General features: G+C 40.5%; 1 long non-coding RNA gene across 1 annotated transcript in view, besides 1 other annotated feature; it reads right to left on the bottom strand.

The window, feature by feature from the left end:
* The window catches only part of LOC101927314 (uncharacterized), a 403,332-nt gene extending 391,296 nt beyond the window's left edge, over positions 1–12,036 (bottom strand). The window contains exon 1 of the long non-coding RNA NR_110757.1: positions 11,526–12,036. This is a non-coding gene — a long non-coding RNA (uncharacterized LOC101927314). The remainder of the gene's footprint in view (positions 1–11,525) is intronic.
* Positions 9,985–11,455: an enhancer, noted in NCBI's record as "VISTA enhancer hs978". NCBI's record gives its function as "enhancer in: forebrain[3/4]" and the evidence as "EXISTENCE:transgenic organism evidence [ECO:0001131][PMID:17130149]".
* Positions 12,037–19,812: the final 7,776 nt, after the last annotated feature.

Raw genomic sequence — 19,812 nt, 5'->3', positions numbered from 1 at the left:
TAAATGTCACCTGCTTAATCCCTCAGCATCTCATCTGCCAAATGGTCATCCAATGTATGTTTTGATCCTTCCAGTTTCAGGGAGCCTATGGCCTCTCATTTCATCTTCAGAGAACTTGAATTATTAGAATTTATTTCTTCTATTCAGCTAAAATACAACCTAAATTTTTGGCTTAGAAAATGAATAAAATGAACAAATAATTTAATGACCAAGGTCTAGATTTAGAATAACACTTTAATAGGAATAACTTGTTAATTCAATCATGATTGGAGTCATATGGCATTAGACAAACTACAACATAGGTGGGACAAATGCCTGTGATGGTATTTTTACCATAAAACCCCTAATGGTAACTGACTGTGCTCTTCCTATTCCTCTAAGGCTGACAAGTGGAGCCTACAATGGGCTGTGCCATTACAGGTTACAGAACAATAGTCAGTGAGTCATGTTCTGCCAGAGCCAAAGAGAATGAGGCCTCATTGGATATTAGAGTCATGATCCCAGTGGTCTGAAATTTGTCCTGTCATCCAAAGCCCATGTCTCCCATGACACTAGTGCTCCAAGCTCCAAGCTTGACCCTTTGTCCCACTCTATTCTGGGCTTCAGCCATGGTGCCCACTTTATGTTCAAGCCTCCTTTCTGAACTCTAGGCCATTTGCTTGGAATCCGAATTTACCTACCTCTTGTCAGCCACCTCTCCCTAATGGAGCTGGAACTTAGATCTGTATCCTCAGACACTAGCTAAGGTACTGGATTTACTATTTTGAAAACAAGCTACCTCTACCTGACTATAATTATCTGCTCTTGTCCAAATACTTCTATAGCTAGGTCACTACTTCACATTTTAAGAACTTCTATGATGTTAATAGTAGTTTGCTTCAGACTTGAACTACTTGCCCTTGAACACTGGAATATGGACTCCCGGCCACACTCCGTGGGAGTCAGCACTACTGCCATGTTAATTTCTCTTAGGGGCATCATCAGAGAATAAAAGGTGTCCTGGCCTAGATCAGTTTTCCAAGGCTTTTTCTCATTTGGTCCTGACTTACTTATGTATTACTGAGGTCTCGAAATGTCTGCTGCTAGAAACCCTATCAAGTTATTAGGACAACAAATTTGGAAGGGGAATATTCTTTAAAGACCTACAGAAAGTGGCCAGGCGTGGTGGCTCACGCCTGTAATCCCAGCACTTTGGGAGGCCAAGGCAGGCAGATCATGAGGGTCAGGAGTTTGAGACCAGCCTGACCAACATGGTGAAACCCCGTCTCTACTAAAAATACAAAAATTAGCCAGGTGTGGTGGCAGGTGCCTGTAGTCTCAGCTACTCGGGAGGCAGAGGCAGGAGAATTGCTTGAACCCAGGAGGCGGAGGTTGCAGTGAGCCAAGATCATACCACTGTACTCCAGACTGTGCAACAGAGCAAGACTCTGTCTCAAAAAAAAAAAAAAAAAAGATCTACAGAAAGTTGACTCAAACTAAAGTACAGGGATTAGTATACAGTGGTTCGATTAAAAATTATGAATATATTTGGCCTGGCGTGGTGGCTCACGCCTATAATCCCAGCACGTTGGGAGGCCAAGGTGGGCAGATCACAAGGTCGGGAGATCAAGACCATCCTGGCTAACACGGTGAAACCCCTTCTCTACTAAAAATACAAAAAAAAATTAGCCGGGCGTGGTGGCGGGCACCTGTAGTCCCAGCTTCTTGGGAGGCTGAGGCAGGAGAATGCCATGAACCCGGGAGGCGGAGATTGCAGTGAGCCGAGATCGCACCACTGCACTCCAGCCTGGAGTGACAGAGCGAGACTCCGTCTAGAAAAAAACAAACAAACAAACAAACAAAAAAAAATAGTATATATATATATATTTAAACAGAGAGCAAGAGTTCTGCAGGATGCCTTGATAAAACAGAATGTTTGTTAAACTAAATGGATGTGATCTAATAGTGACAAAGTGATGCAACAAATTTCAGGCTATGTAGGGAGATAGTTTCAAGCAGAAAGCCCTTCCCATTGTCCCTTAAATCACAGCATATAAGTGACTTCAGCCAGGCATAATCACAACTTTGTTTACTTAATCCCACCAATGCATGTTCATCTTCCCCTTCCAGCTCCCTTGTCTGTAATATACACATGGCAGGTGACTGTATTCTGTCTTGCATTTTTCTCTATCTCCTGTGAATATGTCTTATCTCTACAAGCAGATTACAAACTCTATACCTTACCTTACCTTATCATACTAGGAATGTTTTCAGCAGACAATAAAGTGTTGTTGAATTGAATTGAATCTAACTGGATTGAAACAAACTGGGGTAAAAATGACTTTATATTGCAGAAAAACGAAGCTGACAACAGAGTTGAACCAGATGCCCGATAGAATTCCGAGAATGGATAACTGAGGTTTAGAGAGAAACTAAAAATACTATTACACAAATCAAGGCAGGGCGTGGTGGCTCACTCCTGTAGTACCAGCACTTTGGGAGGCCAAGGTGGGTGGATCACTTGAAGCCAGAAGTTTGAGACCAGCCTGGCCGACATGGTGAAACCCTGTCTCTACTAAAAATACAAAAGTTAGCCAGGTGTGGTGGCACATGCCTGTAATCCCAGCTATTCAGGTGGCTGAGGCACAAGAATCACTTGAGCCCAGGAGGTGGACGTTGCAGTGAGCTGAAATCACACCACTGCACTCCATCCTGGGAGACAGAGCAGGACTCTGTCTCCAAAAAGAAAAAAAAAAAAATGCTACTACACAAATCAGAAAACTAAATGTGGAATAATTAAAATATAGGTAAATGTTATAAATTAGGGTCTATGATAAACAGAATAATGACACCCTAAAGAGTTCTACCTCCTCATCCGTGGAAACTATGAATATTTTACCTTAAAGGCAAAAGGGACTTTGCAGGTATGATTAGGTTAAGGATCTTTAGCTGGGGAGATTATTCTGGATTATCCATGTGGATCCAAAGTAATCATAAGTTTTTGAAATTGAAAGAGAGAGGCAAAAGAATGGGCCAGAAAGATCATATGGAAGAAGGAGGAGGAGAAATCTGAAGTGAGGGAGCAACTGGACTTGCCATTGTGGGGTTTGAAGATGGAGGAACAGGTCTATGAGCCAAGGAATGTGGATGACCTTAAGAAGCTGGAAATATCCCTCAAACAGTAAGCAAGAAAGTGGGGTCTCAGCCCCACCACCACCAGGAACTGAATTCTGCCAGCAACTCAAATGAGCAAGGCAGGTTCTCCCCTAGAACTTCTAGACAGAAACACAGCCTACTGACACCTTGGTTTTAGCCTGGTGAGAGCTAAGACTCTGGACCAGACTTCTTACTATAGAACTGTAAGATAACAAATGTGTGTCATTTTAATCCACCACATTTATGGTTATTGCGTATGGCAACAATAGGAAACTCATTTAGGGAGTGGGTTGCTTTACATGCCCACCCTAGTTGGGCAGTCTGAGTTACTGAGACAAGTTATGTGAGGGAGGGTTTAGCATTTACACACCAGCAGTGTATAGGTTAGGGGGTGAGAGCGCAAATACAGGGATCAGGAGCCATTTCCAAGACAACTAGTGAGTGATCCTACTCAAAGAACTACCAAATCCAGTTCTTTATTTCTAACACTTCTTCATTTCCTTTCCCCACTCTAATTTTCTAACTTATTTAGTAATTTATTTAATAAATCTTGTAAGGCCTTGGGGATTCAAGGAAATAATACACAGTGTTATTCTCAAGGAGCTCATAACCTTAAAAATGCAACAATGTACCAACAAATTACATTGTACAGCAAAAGACTTCACAAAGTACTTTCACCTGCATTCTCACTTAACCCTTAAGGCTTCTATCTATGTAGGACACTAATTGTACTGTGGACTGTAGTGTGTTGGGGGGGTAGGGGGGAGGAATTCTGCTCTGCTTAGCTTTAGCTAGTTCAGTATTTAAAGTGTAGACATGGCCACAAATGAGATGTATTTTACCACAAAAGTCAAGAATTCAAAATTAAAATATATTTTAAATGAGATTTGAAATGGATTGAAGAAAATGAAATTAATCTAGAAATGCTATTAGCACTAAGCACTTACTAATCTAAATTCTAAATGAAACTTTTCTATCCTGTAAGTTGCCAATATGCAAAACAGCTTCTAAATGTCTCCAAGATTGTGAGTAAAACCCCAATGATCAGGTTGGCAAAAGCCCACGAAGTGACAGGAGCTGCATTCATTACACACCTGCTGTACAGCAGACACTGTGGCGTGCTTTGCTGGCCTTACCTCATTCACCTCAGACGCCAGCAGTCATTCATCTCCTAGAAAACACTATTGTCATTAAGTGAGGAAATGGATGCTCAGAAAAAGTAAGGGTGCTGACTCAATAAAAGAGAAGTAGTCAAGAAAGAACAACGATGAACCAATAAAAATGTTATCAGTAGGACAAACAGCAAAGAAACAAATCAGTTAAAGGTACACCATATGCTATATTAATACTCTATTACTGGGGTAACAAATTGCCACAAACTTTGTGGCTTAAAATAATACAAATCTACTGTCTTACAGTTCTGGATATAAGAAGTCAAATACTGGCAGGTTTGGTTCCTTCTGGAGGCTGCATGGTAAAATTTGTTTCCATTCTTCTGCAGTTTCTAAAGGATGCCTGCTTTCCTTAGCTCATAGTCCCTCCCTCTGTCTTCAAATCCAGCACAGTAGCACCTCCTTTCTCTGACTCTTTCCTGCCTACCTTTTAAAAAGACTGTTGTGATTACATAAGTCCCACCCAGAAAATCCAGAATAATTTCCCATTTCAAAATTCTTAATTATATCTCTTAAGTCCCTTTTGCCATAGAGTATTCCCCCTCTTATTCTCAAGGGAGATAAGACCCCCAGTGAATGTCTGAAACCAAGGATAATAATGAACCCTATATATACTCTGTTTTTTCCTATACATACATACCTATAATAAAATGTCATTTATACATCAGGCAGAGTAAGAGATTAACAACAATAACTAATGATAAAACAGAATAATTTTAACAACATGCTAGCATCAGTACTATTGCATGTTGGGGACATCATTAAGTAAAATAAGGGTTACTTTACCACAAGCACTGCAATACCTCGACAGTAGATCTGATAATGGAGACAGCTACTAAGTGACTAATGGGCCTGTAGTGTCTACAACATGGGTTCACTGGACAAATGGATGATTCACACCCAGGTGGAACAGAGTAGGACAGTGTGGTATGGTGACAGATTTCATCACACTAATCAGAACAGCATTTAAACTTACAAATTATTTATTTCTGGAGTTTTTCATTTAATATTTTCAGACTGTGATTTACCATGGATAACTGAAAGTGTGGAAAGTAAAACTTCAGATAAGAGAGGATTACTGTATAAGTAACATATTCACAGGCTCTGAGAGTTATGAAGTGGAAATCTTCATGGGAGGGGGACACTCAGTTTACCCCACAAAGGAAGACAGAGTTGAGCTAATAACAAGGAAGTACAGAACAGAAATGGAAATAAGAACAAACTAGGCTGGGTCAAAAACTTGTTGAAATGCCTAGGCATATCTGAGAGTATTATTGTCCCCAAAATATATTCTATGATACAATATATGTAGTTGTTAGAATTTAGTGAGCTTTCCACGTAGAGGTGAGTAAATGAAGGCTGGTGAAGCAATACATCTATGCTTACTTTTCTTATTTTTTCTTTTCTTTTTTTTTTTTTTTTTGAGACAGAGTCTTACCCTGTCGCCCAGGCTGGAGTGCAATGGTGCAATCTCAGTCACTGCAACCTCCCCTCCCAGGTTCAAGCAATTCTCCTGCCTCAGCCTCCCGAGTAGCTGGGATTACAGGCACCCGCCACCATGCCTGGCTAATTTTTGTATTTTTAGTAGAGACGGGGTTTCTCCATGTTGGCCAGGCTGGTCTCAAACCCCTGACCTCAGGTGATCCACCCACCAACACCTCCCAAAGTGCTGGGATTACAGGCGTGAGCTGCCGCGCCCAGCCACATCTACGCTTACTTTTAAAAGGCAACTGACTGGAGCTGTCGCTCTAAAAGGAACAAATCCAGAGGCAGTACCTAAAAAAATCAAGCTAGGTCAAGGATAACGCAAAGTCTTTCTCCAAAGGTAGAGCAAAGCAGTGCATTCAACAGGCCTAGACACAACTCTCCCAACCATTGGATTCATATAGCTGCTCATTAACTGGTTTCAAATTTATCTTAGGCCATTAGTAGAAGATTTTCTACCAAATAATTACCTTAAAAACTCTAAGTATCTCCTGAGGGAAGAACCCTAGAGCTAGCTGTCTCAGCACTATAAAATAAAATAATCAGGAGAAGTAAGAACCACTGATGGCTCATAAAAGCTTTGAGTTACCTGAATGCTCAAGGCCATGCCATTTATAAAGTCTAAGAGGCTTAGCAGGCTATTGCTATGAAATGTAACTGTAAAAAAAAAAAAGCATCATCAGTGTCTGAGACAGAGGAACTTAGGTTCAGGGCCCAGGCATATGGCACAAGGAAAGGATCCCTCTTCATCTCTCACACTCTATTACCACACGTACCTAACTGGTCTCTTTGTCTTCAGTCTTGCCTCACTGAATTCATCTTCCTCAATGCCAAGGTTATCTTTCTGAGACACACATCTGATCAGCTTGCTTTCCATCTTAATCTCTGATAATCCTCACAATATGTAGAATAAAGCACATACTGTTTGGTGTAACACATGAAGTTCTAAAAGTGAGGCTTTTACCTACCTTTATAATTTTATCTCCTACTTCTCCTTTCCATGTGTTAAACAAACACTTTTGTCCAAATGGATGTTTACTTAAGGCACTTCTCACTTTTAACTATCATTGCATATACCACTCCTTTGGCCTGAACAAAGGACCTCTTCATTCAATGGCTATCCAATTCAAATGCCAATCACTCAGCAAAGCCTTCTGAAACTAGTTCAGTAAAGTTTTAAGTTCTCTCCATGCTGTGCTCTCATTGCTAACACAGAGGCATAGAGAAAAAGTTCTCAGTGTATTGCAAACTTGAACCCAAGCCATGCCAATATTACTTTCCAAGAGGTTCCCATCAGGTCAGAGCATAGCAGGGGCCCCTAGGGAAGTTGTTCTCAGTATGTGACACCCATCAGAATCAACTATAAAACTTTGTAAATGAAAATAAAATTCCAAAGACTAGCCCCAGAATTAAAATCTATGGTTGTAGACCTAGAAGGCTTACAGGTTTTTAATGGGCTTCACAGTTGGTTTTGATGAAGAGGAGGGAATGAAGATCCTCAACCAGGCTGATGTTAGAACATCACTGGTAACTGGGAGTGTGGACTCGAAAGTCTAAGCTAGAGATAAGCAGGCAGGCAGGGCCATAGCTATGTAGGTTGGGACCCAGGGCAGCAGAGGGCCATAGCCAAGAAGCCAAGGTGAAAGCTCTTCTATTTGAATCAAGAGAACATCAGAATTGGAGGAAAGCTACGACTCAGTAAGGAACCCAGTAAGGTATACTGGGCCTACCTTAGACACACTGAAAAACAAGACAAATTGTAGAACTCACCAAATGGAGGTTTCCCCAACAGCAACATTGCATCACCAGGAAACTTGTCAGAAAAGCATCTTGGGCCCCATCTCAAACCTACTGAATAAGAGTCTGCATTGTAAAGACATCCCAGGTGATTCGAAGTCCACATTAATGTTTGAGAAGCATCCAAGCCTAGTTCTGGATGATGCCAATGCTGCTGGTCTCTGGACTGCACCAAGAGGAGCAAGAGTCTTGACCAACAACTGAGCCAGGTAGAAGAAATTCAAGTATTACCACTGTGAGTAGTTTGAGGACAAGAACCTCTTTCAATCTACCTTCTTTCAGCCTTAGCAGAAGGCCTTGGAAACTGAAAATATGGTCTATTTGTTGAAAATTGAGGACCTAAAGCTGGTTCAATTCCAACTTCCACTCACCAGCTCTGTTGTGCTGTCAAGTTACTTAACTTCTTTTTTTTTTCTTTTTTTGAGACGGAGTCTTGCTCTGTCGCCCAGGCTGGAGTGCAGTGGCACAATCTCGGCTCACTGCAAGCTCCACCTCCCAGGTTCACGCCATTCTCCTGCCTCAGCCTCCTGAGTAGCTGGGACTACAGGCGCCCACCACCACACCTGGCTAATTTTTTTTGTCTTTTTAGTAGAGACGGGGTTTCCCTGTGTTAACCAGGATGGTCTTGATCTCCTGACCTCGTGATCTGCCCGCCTCGGCCTCCCAAAGTGCTGGGATTACAGGCGTGAGCCACCACGCTCAGCCTACTTAACTTCTTTAGGCTTCAATTTCTCACCTGGAATATGGGGATACTGCCTCTCAAGAATGAGAGGAAGTTATCACCTTATTTTTCTTAGCATTATAAGTGCTCAGTAGGTGTTGAAAAAAATCATTAATCGATAGTCTATTTTAAAAAAATTTTTTTGAGACGGAGTCTTGCTCTGTTGCCTAGACTAGAGTACAGTGGCACAATAGGCTCACTGCAGCCTCCACTTCCCAGGTTCAAGCGATTCTCCTGCCTCAGCCTCCCGAATGACTGAGACTACAGGTCCACACCACCAGGTCTGGCTAATTTTCGTATTTTTAGTAGAGTTGGGGTTTCACCACTTTGGCCAGGTTGGTCTCGAACTCCTGACCTCAAGTGAAACACACATCTGACCAGCTTGCTTTCCATTTGCATGTCAGCCTCCCAAAGTGCTGGGATTACAGTGTGAGCCATCACACCCAGCCGATAGTCAATTATTGATTGATTGATATATAAATTGACTTTTAGTGAGGAAAAGAGCTCCAAAATTCTAGTCGTATAAATGATTTCAATCTGACTCATACAATCTATAATGAAAAAGATGGCTAAAATCTTAGTAATTAGCAGACATTTCATGCATAAGACTTCTTAGAATATTAATATGCAAGTGTCTCTTAAGTTATGGGTAGAAGAACTCTCTAAAGCATGATGATTGCTAACCTTTTTGGAGTGGTAACACCAAATTGACATTTATGAGACTTCAAAATGCTCTTATTCTCCCCAAAATACCTAAGAAGAATACTTTTTTTCCCCTCATGGCTTATTTTTCATTTAATTAAATTTAAATTGATTTGCTTGAGAATATTTTGACATTTTAGCATTATAGAGTGTTGCAAATCTGGATGGCAATCCCTGCCATAATGAACAACACAGGTTCAAAGAAATACATTTAACTTTATGTTAAATAGCTCCCTTGTTTTTATCTAGTGCTTTATAATCTTCAAAAAAACTTTTGCTCCTACCTCATTTATCCCTGTAACAACTTTATGGCTGTTTTGTGGCAAAAGTGAGAATAGAACTCAAGTTTCCTAATTCTCAACCATTTCTCTATTTCTTTTTATTTATTTATTTATTTTTAAAACTCTGTTCAGCTACCACCAGCACCACTGCCACCATCTGATTAGACTGCCACATGTTATCCATACATGGATGCTAACCTGTATCCAAACCCAAGTCAAAGCCAGGTCACCTGCTCAGCTGCCTAGTATCCTAATTCTGCTCCAATCAAGCATCGTTTCCAAAAAGTATGTTCTAAGTATCACACAGGCAATAGCTTCCTAAACATTTATGAAAAAGTTTTTTTATTTTTTGAAGTAACTTTTTAGTTTTAGAAATTAGAAGTCAAATTTGGAGATGTGACTTACATTTTTTAATTTTGAATTTTTCAAATGTATGGTAAGATGTAACTTTTAGAAATTTGACCCTTCATTATTTACTAAACATTACATTTGTTTATAAGGCTTCTCAACTCAACTTTCTTGTAGATAATGCTGTAACCTATAAAAGGCAGTTTTTACAAAGTATTGCTGTGTATTCCAATGTTGGATACCAATTTTTACTAAGGATTCTAATTCCTGGATTTTGAAAATGAGCACAAATCTTAGACTGATAAATGATAAAGCAGTGAGATTTTATTAGTAAATATTAATATTTAAGCTCTCAAAAATACCCCATATAGTCTACCATAACAGCATGTTCTTCTTTTAAAAAAATCACTTAAAGATTTCAAGTTACTTATTAAACTTTAGAAATGATACTGTGACATGTTTTCTGAAACCTAGTATACATTTTTAAAGTATTGCTAATGGGCTGGGTAATCCATTAAAGTTACATAATTATGACAGAACAACCGTAGCATCGTTAAAGAAAAACTGACAACTCCAAACTGACAAGTGTAAGAAATTCCAAAGTTGCAGTGACAATTCGGATCTACTTCCTTTCATGCCCAGATTTACTTAATATCTCATTTGATTTTCAAACCTTCCCTCAGAAGCAATTGGAACAAAACCATGAGCAAGCTCAATCTCCATTTGGGCATGTAACCCTTTTACAAACACAATTACAGCCAAACACTATTGTAACCTGATTTGCATTTGCACTAACTAAGTTACAAAGCACATTGAGGATGCCTGCTATGCATACTACAGACTTGTTAGGAGGATATATTGCAGGGCTTCTGTGAACACTAATTAAAAAGGTTTTATCTTTCCCCTCTGGTCCACTGAAATTGTTCAAATGCCTTGCCTGCTACAACTTTGTTCAAAAACAGTTTTCAAACATGTGATCAGAGCTAGGCAACTATTTCAGGTGGCATGATTCTGTTTCCACGGTGGACAAGGCCCTAGAGACAAAGTTTCAGTCCAAACTTTGAGCTTCCTTTCCTTTGTTATTTTGTGTTGCAACCTTAATATTATCCAACTGTGGACTTTTATCTCTGAATATCTAAATCCTGTCTTGTGGAAAACTAATTACTGAACCACTGAGAGCTTCATAATGTCCTGCATTTAAGTCCTGAGCATCATACATAATGCATAGGCAGCAGTCTCTGCACTCTGATTACAGAACACTGTCATTAAGTGAGCAAATTAAAGATGTGAATAATTCACTGGCTGAGCTTATTGTCAGTGCTGCATTGTGAAATTAGAATTTCTAATAAGTACTGCAATTTTTTTAACCCAATTAACACAGAGAACATCTTGAGACTGATTAGTACAATAAAAATTATTACCTTATTCTTTTGCTTCACAACAGCCAAATTAAATACTGTACTTAATTATGCAGCATTCATCCTTCTCTGCTAAAAAAAAAACCCTATCATTTTAATAAGAGTTCTAATATTTGTATGTGAGCTAAAAATACAGCACATGCATCTGTAGCTCACTGTCTTTTTACAAAGTTTTTTTAAGAGTCTGAACATCAGTATTATCACCAGTGGTGGATTAGGATGACACTAGTCTATTCTTAAACCAAATATTTTTCCTACAAAACAAACAGCATACATAGAATTGACAAAGTAACTAACCTCCCCAAATTGACTTGAATCTATTATGCCTCTGGTTTTTCTTGGCTTTTTAGATACACATTAACACAGATTTGCCCCCACTATGCTGTTTGTGGTTGAGGCTGAAACATATATTTAAGAAAATTAATCGATTAGGAAAAAAGCAAGTATCTGAAACAGTGGGTCTTACCTCAGATGTTCATTTAGCACGCAGGGATCTGTGTGACTCCTGCCAGGCAAGTGGGAAAGTCCAGTTTATGCTCGGCATGATGATCCTACGCAGAGAGTGTCTGCTGCCATGTTAAATAAAGAAAATGATCATTTAAACCGGGGCTTTTGTCTCCCAATATTTCCTCCTGCTGCCCCTTTCTCATCAAAGCCCAGAAAGGCAGGCACATCTGGCGGCAGTCCCTGCCCCTGACCGCAGCTGCCTCTGGAGAGCTCCCCCCTTCTTTTCCAGCTCCTCTGCATCCCTTGCTGGGCAACTTCAGCCCCCTAAAATGGGGGAAAGAAACGATGACATTGCAGGCAGAATATGAGATTGTTCAGCCTCTGCAGCCACCTCCTTCCTGTCTAGATATTTTATGAGAAGGGAACGAGAAGGGGGAAACAGCGAAGGTGCTCTGAAAATCAGTCAGACACAATGCAATAGGGAGATGGAGAGGAGGGAAAGGAGAATGAGAAAGAGAGAGTGTGTGTGTGTAAGGGGGGTGGCTGTCAGTGCAGATAAATCTGCATATGGAAATTAGGGTTATCCTGGGTACAGTTTTATTTAACTATGATCTACTGTTTTTTTAATTAGACCAAATTTTAGCAAAGGAAAGGAAGAAAGAGTCTTGAAACCAGAGAGCAACTTCTAATTCAATGGACAAAATTTCAGAGCAACTGCAAATAGCAGATCCAAAAGTTGTAGAATAAAGAAAAGCAACAAAAAAAGGACATTTCTCCCCTTGTTTTGTTTAATAAACAAGGAGAAAGATTCCATCCTCACAACCAAAAATTAATAAATAAATTAAATAAAAGGAAATTACGATGAGAATGGGAAGGAATTTAAAGAAAGGAAAAAAAACTCTTTCATGATCTGCATAAAATTTCATCTTAAAATGCTACAACAATCAAGATAAAGGGATTTTCAGAAGAATATATATATACACACATATATACATATATATATATAAAATTGGGGTTACATGTGAAAATTAGTAACAATACATTCTGACATTTTAATATTAGAGATGTAGCATATTTTTCCCTTCCTTAGAGAACTCCTGTTTTGTAGCTCTAACCCATGGCAACATATTATGATCACATACCATAATCATTTGAGGAAGTCATAATACCAGCCTACTAGCCTTACGGGATGCTGAGAGTAAAACAATGAGACAGAGTGACTAAAAGACTCCTGGAGGTTGGTTGGTGTGTCTAGCAATGAGTCCTCTACCAGAGGTGCTGCCAGGATAGTGATCTGACCGGAAGGAACTTGAATTAATTCCATAAGCTGTAAGTGGTGAATTTGATGACATAGATTAATATTAATTCACTTGTTGAACATTTATTGAACACCTATCACTGCAAACATTGTGCTAGAAAGCAGACATAAGATGAACACTGCAAGATTCCTGCTCTCGAGAACCCAGAATTCAATGGGAAAAAAATAAATTTAAAATGAAGTGGTATTGCAGGTTTGTAAACAAAGAAAGTAGTTGAGATAGTCTTGACTCAAGCAGTGTGGGCACATGTCAGCACCCTTGTAACTTTCCATCCACATGCACAGCTGGAACTTTCAAGACCAGCTCAAGCACCCTAAGCAAGTTACTTTGTCCCTTTGAACCTTAGTTTCTTCAGCTGTAAACTGACAATAATATCTGCTTTTTAAGGTTGGAATTATAAGAAATAATTAAAGTAAAACATTACCTTATGTCTGGCTTGTGATAATTGCTCAATAAAACTGAGAATTGCAAATCAATTCTCAGTTCAAATGGCACCTCCTCTGGCAAACCTCCTCTGCAGCAATATCTGCTGACAGGTTCAGAAGCTTCTTCTGGAATGCTCCCACTGGCCTCCATCATATTATCTTAATGTAATTTTCAGCAGGTCTATCTCTATAGCAGTGGTTCTCAACTTGGGGCCATTTTGCCTTCCAGGAGACACTTAACAATGTCTGGAAACATCATTGATTTTCATGACTACAGGAGAAAGGTTGCTACTGGCATGCAATAAGCAGAGGCCAAGGATACTGTTATACACCCTACAAATTTTGGCTTCTAATAAAAGGAACTTGGGGGTCCTTAGACGAAAGGCTGACTCTAGGACTGGGGCTGAAAATATACAAAGTGGGCCTGGAGTATCTTGCAGTGCTAGGAAATAGGAAGTGCTCAGAAAACAAAACAAAACCCACATTGTTAGGGGTATGTCAAAGGGACACAGGAACCATCAGAAAGAGCTCTCGATGTCTAAAACTAGAACTAGTTAAACAACAAAATAAACAAAGTAGTATTGGGTTATAACTCAAAGTATAATATAAATACCATGAGTCTATATTAATGTAAGTAAATTATTGAAAAATAATCAGAGGAGAAGAAACAAATCTTCCTTGCCAAATAATTCCAAATGATTTATATAAATAACCTCTCTTAATGAGAGGGAGTATAATTCTCCACTCCTAAAGTGTGGGCTGATTACTGACTTCCACAGTAGAAGGTGGGAGGGGAGTTTCATGGGGGTTTCATGGGGGAGTAACTTTACAGAGGAAACCTGGCAAACACTACCTCAGCCAGGTAGTGAGAAGGTACATCAACAATGGTAAGTCATGTTGATAATGTGTGTGCTCTAACCCCAATCTAATCATGAGAAAAGCATCAGATAAATTCCAATAGAGGGGCGTTTGATAAAACATTTGACCAGGCTTCTCAGAACTGCCAAGGAGCCAGGTGTGGTGGTTCATGCCTGTAATCTCAGCACTTTGGGAGGCCGAGGCAGGAGGATCACTTGAGCCCAGGAGTTCAAGACTGACCTGGGCAACATGGGAAAACTCTGTCTGTACAAAAAATATAAAACTTAGTGAGGCATGGTTGCTCTCATTGCTGCTTATTTGGGAGGCTGAGATGGGAAAATCACTTGAGGCCAGGAGGTCGAGGCTGCAGTAAGCTGTGATCGCACCACTGCACTACAGCCTGGGTGATAGAGCAAGACTCTGTCTCTAAAAAAAACAAAACCTGGCCAGATGCGGTGGCTCATGGCTGTAATCCCAGCATTTTGGGAGGCCCCTCAGCCTCGTGGGCAGATCACGAGGTCAAGAGATCGAGACCATCCTGGCCAACATGCCGAAACCCCGTCTCTACCAAAAACACAAAAATTACCTGGGTGTGGTGGCACGCACCTGTAGTCCCAGCTACTCGGGAGGCTGAGGCAGGAGAATTGCTTGAACCCAGGAGCTAGAGGTTGCAGTGAGCCGAGATCCACCACTGCACTCCAGCCTGACTGTCTCAAAAAAAAAAACAAAAAAAAAAACCTGTCAAGGCCATCAAAAACAAAGTGTAAGAAATTATCATAGCCAAGAGGAGTCTAAGGAGATATGTAAACTAAACGTAATGTATGGGACCCTTGAACAGAAAAAGGACTTTAGGTTAAAACTCAGGAAATATGAGTAAAGTATAGACTGTAGTTAATAATAATGTCAATTGATCGGTTCTTTAATTGTAATATATGTACCATATTAATGTAAGATGTTAATAATAGGGGAAACTGGGTGTAGGGTATATGTGAACTGTACTATCTTTGCAATGTTTTTATAAATCTAAAACTACTCTAAAAATAAAATGTATTTAATAAAAAGAGTCAGTAGTGCAAAAGTTAAAAACCCCTGCCCTATACAATACTATAAGCTTCTTAAAGGCAGAGTCTTTGTGGTTTTACTGTATATGTGTATAGGCTCACTTTGGTCATTAGTCCTCAAAGATGGCCCTCCAATGAACCATGCCTCTCAGAATGCATGCTTTTGTGCATTCCCTGCCACTTGAATCTGGCTTGGTCCTGTGTGACTTGCTTTTGACTAACAGAGTGCAGTAGAAGTGACACTGTGTGACTCCTGAGCCAAGGTAAGACCTAAGTTTCCACCTAGGTCTCATTCTGGGAAAGCCAGCCATCATGTAAGAAGTGTGAACACATTGAAATCTCCATACTATTAAAGAGCCAAGCTACCACATGGAGAAGACTATGGAGAGGAGACACAAAGAGAAAGGGAGGGAGGGAGAAAGAGAGAGAGAGAGAGAGAGAGAGAGAGAGAGAGAAATCGATCCAGCTAGTCCTCAGCTGCTGTTCCATCACTCTATTCCACCTAAACATGTGAGTGAAGAATCCACATTTGACATCCAGCACAGTGTAGCCTACAGATGACTTTAGCTCCAGGATCTCTTTCCCTGCAATAGTATGAGAGAGACAAGCAAGAACTACTCACATGAGCCCAATTTACCCACCAGATCGTAATAAAACATAGCAAATGGTTGGTTTAAGACACTAGGTGGAGAGGTGGTTTGTTATGGAGAAACAGATAATTGGAAAACTCACTCAGTGCCTTTTACTTGTTAGGTATTCCCCCAAAACAACAAAGGGGCTTCTGTACTGTAGGGAAAAAGTAATGGTGGAATTTCTTATAATGTTTTAGACCACTTCCATTAAAAAATTCTATTAGTTGCTAAATTCAGTAAGATAATGGTTTTTGCAGTTGGGTATAATAGAGGTAAAAAAAAAGATATGTGCCTAATATATAACACAGTGAGCCTGAGCGGCAGTGGAAGGAGGGAAGAGTAGGTGGAAATAAACAGATTAGCTCTAGGTTATTTTGGCTATATTAAAATATGTATTTTCTACTTTAATATATTCACAATGATTTTCAGGTTAATTGAATGCTAGGCACCAGTCTTTAGACCCTTTACATAGTATCAGCCTCACAAAAATTGGATGAAGTGAATACTACTTTAATTTAACAGATACGAAAACTGTGTCTCAGTGTGACTAAATTACTTGCCCATCCAACTAGTCCGTGTGATCAAGATTTGAACCTTGGCGATCTGATTCCAGAGCCCAGTTTCTTAGCACAGCATAGTAGAAAAGACAAACATAAATAAAACAATCATACAAAAATGTGTATAATTACGAACTGTGATAAGCACCATAGAGCAAAGTTCAGGATCCCATAATTATAGATGCCTGACCCAGTCTGGGAGTTTGGGAAGGCTGTTAAGAGGTAGAGTTTGAGGGAGACACCTGGGTTAATAGGACCAGATGCTAGGTTGATAACTGGCCCATGAACCAGAAAAGGGCAGAGGTGAGAATGGGCATATGATTGGCGGTTGGTCAGGTGTGTTTCTGACAACTGAGATTTGTAAGGCCCCCAGATATGACTTTTCTGGGAGTTACAAGTTTGGTAAAAATGGAGTGTCACAATCTGGAGGAGTCAGCAGAGAGCCACTAGGGAAGAAGAAAAGAGAACTTAGTTATGCTTCCTTTTATTTAGAAAAAAATCTTCAAAAGTTGTCCAAGCTGGTGATCTCCATTTACCCTCTTCCTATCCCTCCTTGACACACTCCTTCAAGCTTCTGCCCCTGTCATTCCTTGAAAATGCTTAGCCACCAATGACTTTTGTATTGTCAAATCTATTGGTCAATTCTCAGTCATCATTTTTTCAAGCTATCAGCAGTATTTGACAGAGCTGATCATTCCTTCTTGAAACAATTTCTATGATTGGTTGACTGACTGATTGATTTAGAGACAGGGTTTCACTCTGTCGCCCAGGTTGGGGTGCAGTGGTGTGATCACAGCTCACTGCAGTCTCAATCTCCTGGGCTCAAGGGATCCTCCCACCTCAGCCTCCTGAGTAGCTGGCATTGTAGGTATTCACCACCCTGCCCATATATTTTTAAAATTTTTCTTAGAGATTGGGTCTCACTTTGTTGCCCAGGCTGTTTTCAAACTCCTGGGTTGAAGTGATTCTCCCACCTTGGCCTCTCAAAGTGTTAGAATTACAGGCATGAGCCACCATGCCCAGCCTGGTTTCTATGTTTGGCTTCCCACACACAACATGGTCTTGATTTACCTCCTACTCCACAGGCAAGTCCTCTCTTTTTTCTTTTTTTTTGAGACAGGGTCTTGCTCTGTTGTCCAGGCTGGAGTACAGTAGCATGATCATAGCTCACTGCAGCGTCACTCTCCCAGGCTCAAACAATCCTCCTGGCTCAGCCTTTTAAGTAGTTGGGACTACAGGCACACTCCACCACACTCAGCTAAATTTTTTTTTTTTTATTTTTTGTAGAAATGAAGTCTCATCATGTTGCACAGGCTGGTCTCGAACACCTGGGTTCAAGCAATCCTCCCTCCTCAGCCTCCCAAAGTGTTAGGATTACAGATGTGAGCCACCATGCTGGGCCAACTTTTTTTTTCTTTACTGGTGCCTTCTCTCATTTCTGAGCTCCAAATGATGAAATACCCCAAGACTTAGCCCCTGAACTGATTGTCTTTTCCATCCATGCTCTCTCCTTACATGATCTCAAACAGTACCGTGGCTTCAAATACCATCAATGTGCTAATAATTCCCAACTGCATATCTCTATCTAGACCTGACTTCTACCCTGAACTGAAGACTGTATCCAATTGCCTGCTGATATATCCATTTAGATAGATAAGAGTGCAGATTCTGGAGCTAGGCTCCCTAGATTTAGATCCTAACTTTGTAATCGGGCAAGGGATATGTGACTTCTCTTTGCCTAGTTTCCTCAATCAAAATGGCTCAATATTATTACTCTATCTCAGATGATTGCTTAAACAAGCGAATAGATTTAAAGCATGTCTTATAACCGTCCAGTCTTTAGACACATGGCATGTTGTTAGCTACAGATAGGCATCCCAAAACAGAGCTATTGCATCTTCTCCCCAACCCCACACAGAAATCATGACTCTTCATCTCAGTAAATGGTATCTCCAGCCATCCGGCTGTTTAATCCAAAAACTTACTGATAAAAAAAAATGTAACTCCTCTCTCACACAACTCACAATTTTCCCATCAGCAAATCCTGTCAGCACCATCTTAAATACATCTAGACTATATTCGTCATTTCTGCTTTTGTCTAAACTACTAAATTTTCTCACCTAGAGTATTCCAAGAGCCTACTAATTGTTGCCTCACATCCAGACTCACCCCATAGGGTCTATTCTTCCCACTGTGGTAAGAGTGATTTGCTAAGAATTTAGTTGTTTTGCCCCTCTGCCCAGAACCTTCTAACATTTTCCTACTGTGCTCAGAGTAAAAACCAGAGTACTTATGGCCAGGATGATCTGGCCTTCTTCATGACATGTCCACTCATGGTCCCGTCGTTTACCACCCTCTCCCCTTTATACTTCACACAGGAAATCTTGCTGTTGCTCAAAGATGCCACCCGTGCTCTGCAGAGATCAGCTTGGCTTTCTCCCAAACTTCCATCAGGTCTCAGCTTAAATGCCACCTTATCAGCAAGGCTTCCCTGGGCCTTCTTATACAAAGTATCATACCTGCCAAGGTATTATGTAACCCCCACTTTATTTTCAAAAAGAGTACCCATCACCCCTATTTCGTATTTGTTTGTTTTGCCTCCTTGCCCCTAGACCATAAACTCCATGTGGGCAAGGCCTCGTTTTATTCACTACTCCATCTCCAGCACTTACAATACTTGGGATGTAATGGCTAATCAAAATATACTTGTTGAATGAATGCATACAGGTAATTTTTTTCTGAGTAAATTATTGATATTCTTTGGATTTGTGTCCCTGCCCAAATCTCATGTAGAATTGTAATCCTTAATGTTGGAGGTGCGGCTTGGTGGGAGGTGATTGGATCATGCAGGCAGATTTTCCCCTTGCTATTCTCATGATAGTAAGTGAATTATCGTGAGATCTGGTTGTTTATTTATTTATTTATTTATTTATTTATTGAGACATTTATTTATTTATTTTTGAGTCTCACTCTGTGGCCCAGGCTGGAGTGCAGTGGCACAGTCTCGGCTCACTGCAACCTCTGCCTCCCGGGTTGAAGTGATTCTCCTGCCTCAGTCTCCCAAGTAGCTGGGATTACAGGCAGGCGCCATCACCCCCAGCTACTTTTTTTGTATGTTTTTTAGTAGAGATGGGGTTTCACCATGTTCCCCAGGCTGGTTTTAAATTCCTTGCCTCAAGTGATCTGCCCACTTCAGCCTCCCAACGTGCTGGGATTACAAGCTTGAGCCACTGCGCTGGGCCAAAATCTGGTTGTTTAAAAGTGTGTGGCACCTCTTCCCCTCTCTCTCCTCCTCATGCTCCAGCCATGTAAGATGTGGCTCCTTTCTCTTCACCTTCTGCCATGATTGTAAGTTTCCTGAGGCCTCCCCAGCCATGCTTCCTGTACAGCCTGCAGAACTGTGAGCCAATTAAACCTGTTTTCTTCGTAAATTACCCATTCTCTGGTAGTTCTT

Source organism: Homo sapiens, chromosome 6, assembly GCF_000001405.40.
Source record: "Homo sapiens chromosome 6, GRCh38.p14 Primary Assembly".
Lineage (NCBI taxonomy): Eukaryota > Metazoa > Chordata > Mammalia > Primates > Hominidae > Homo > Homo sapiens.
This window is presented reverse-complemented; position numbering and strand designations above follow the sequence as displayed.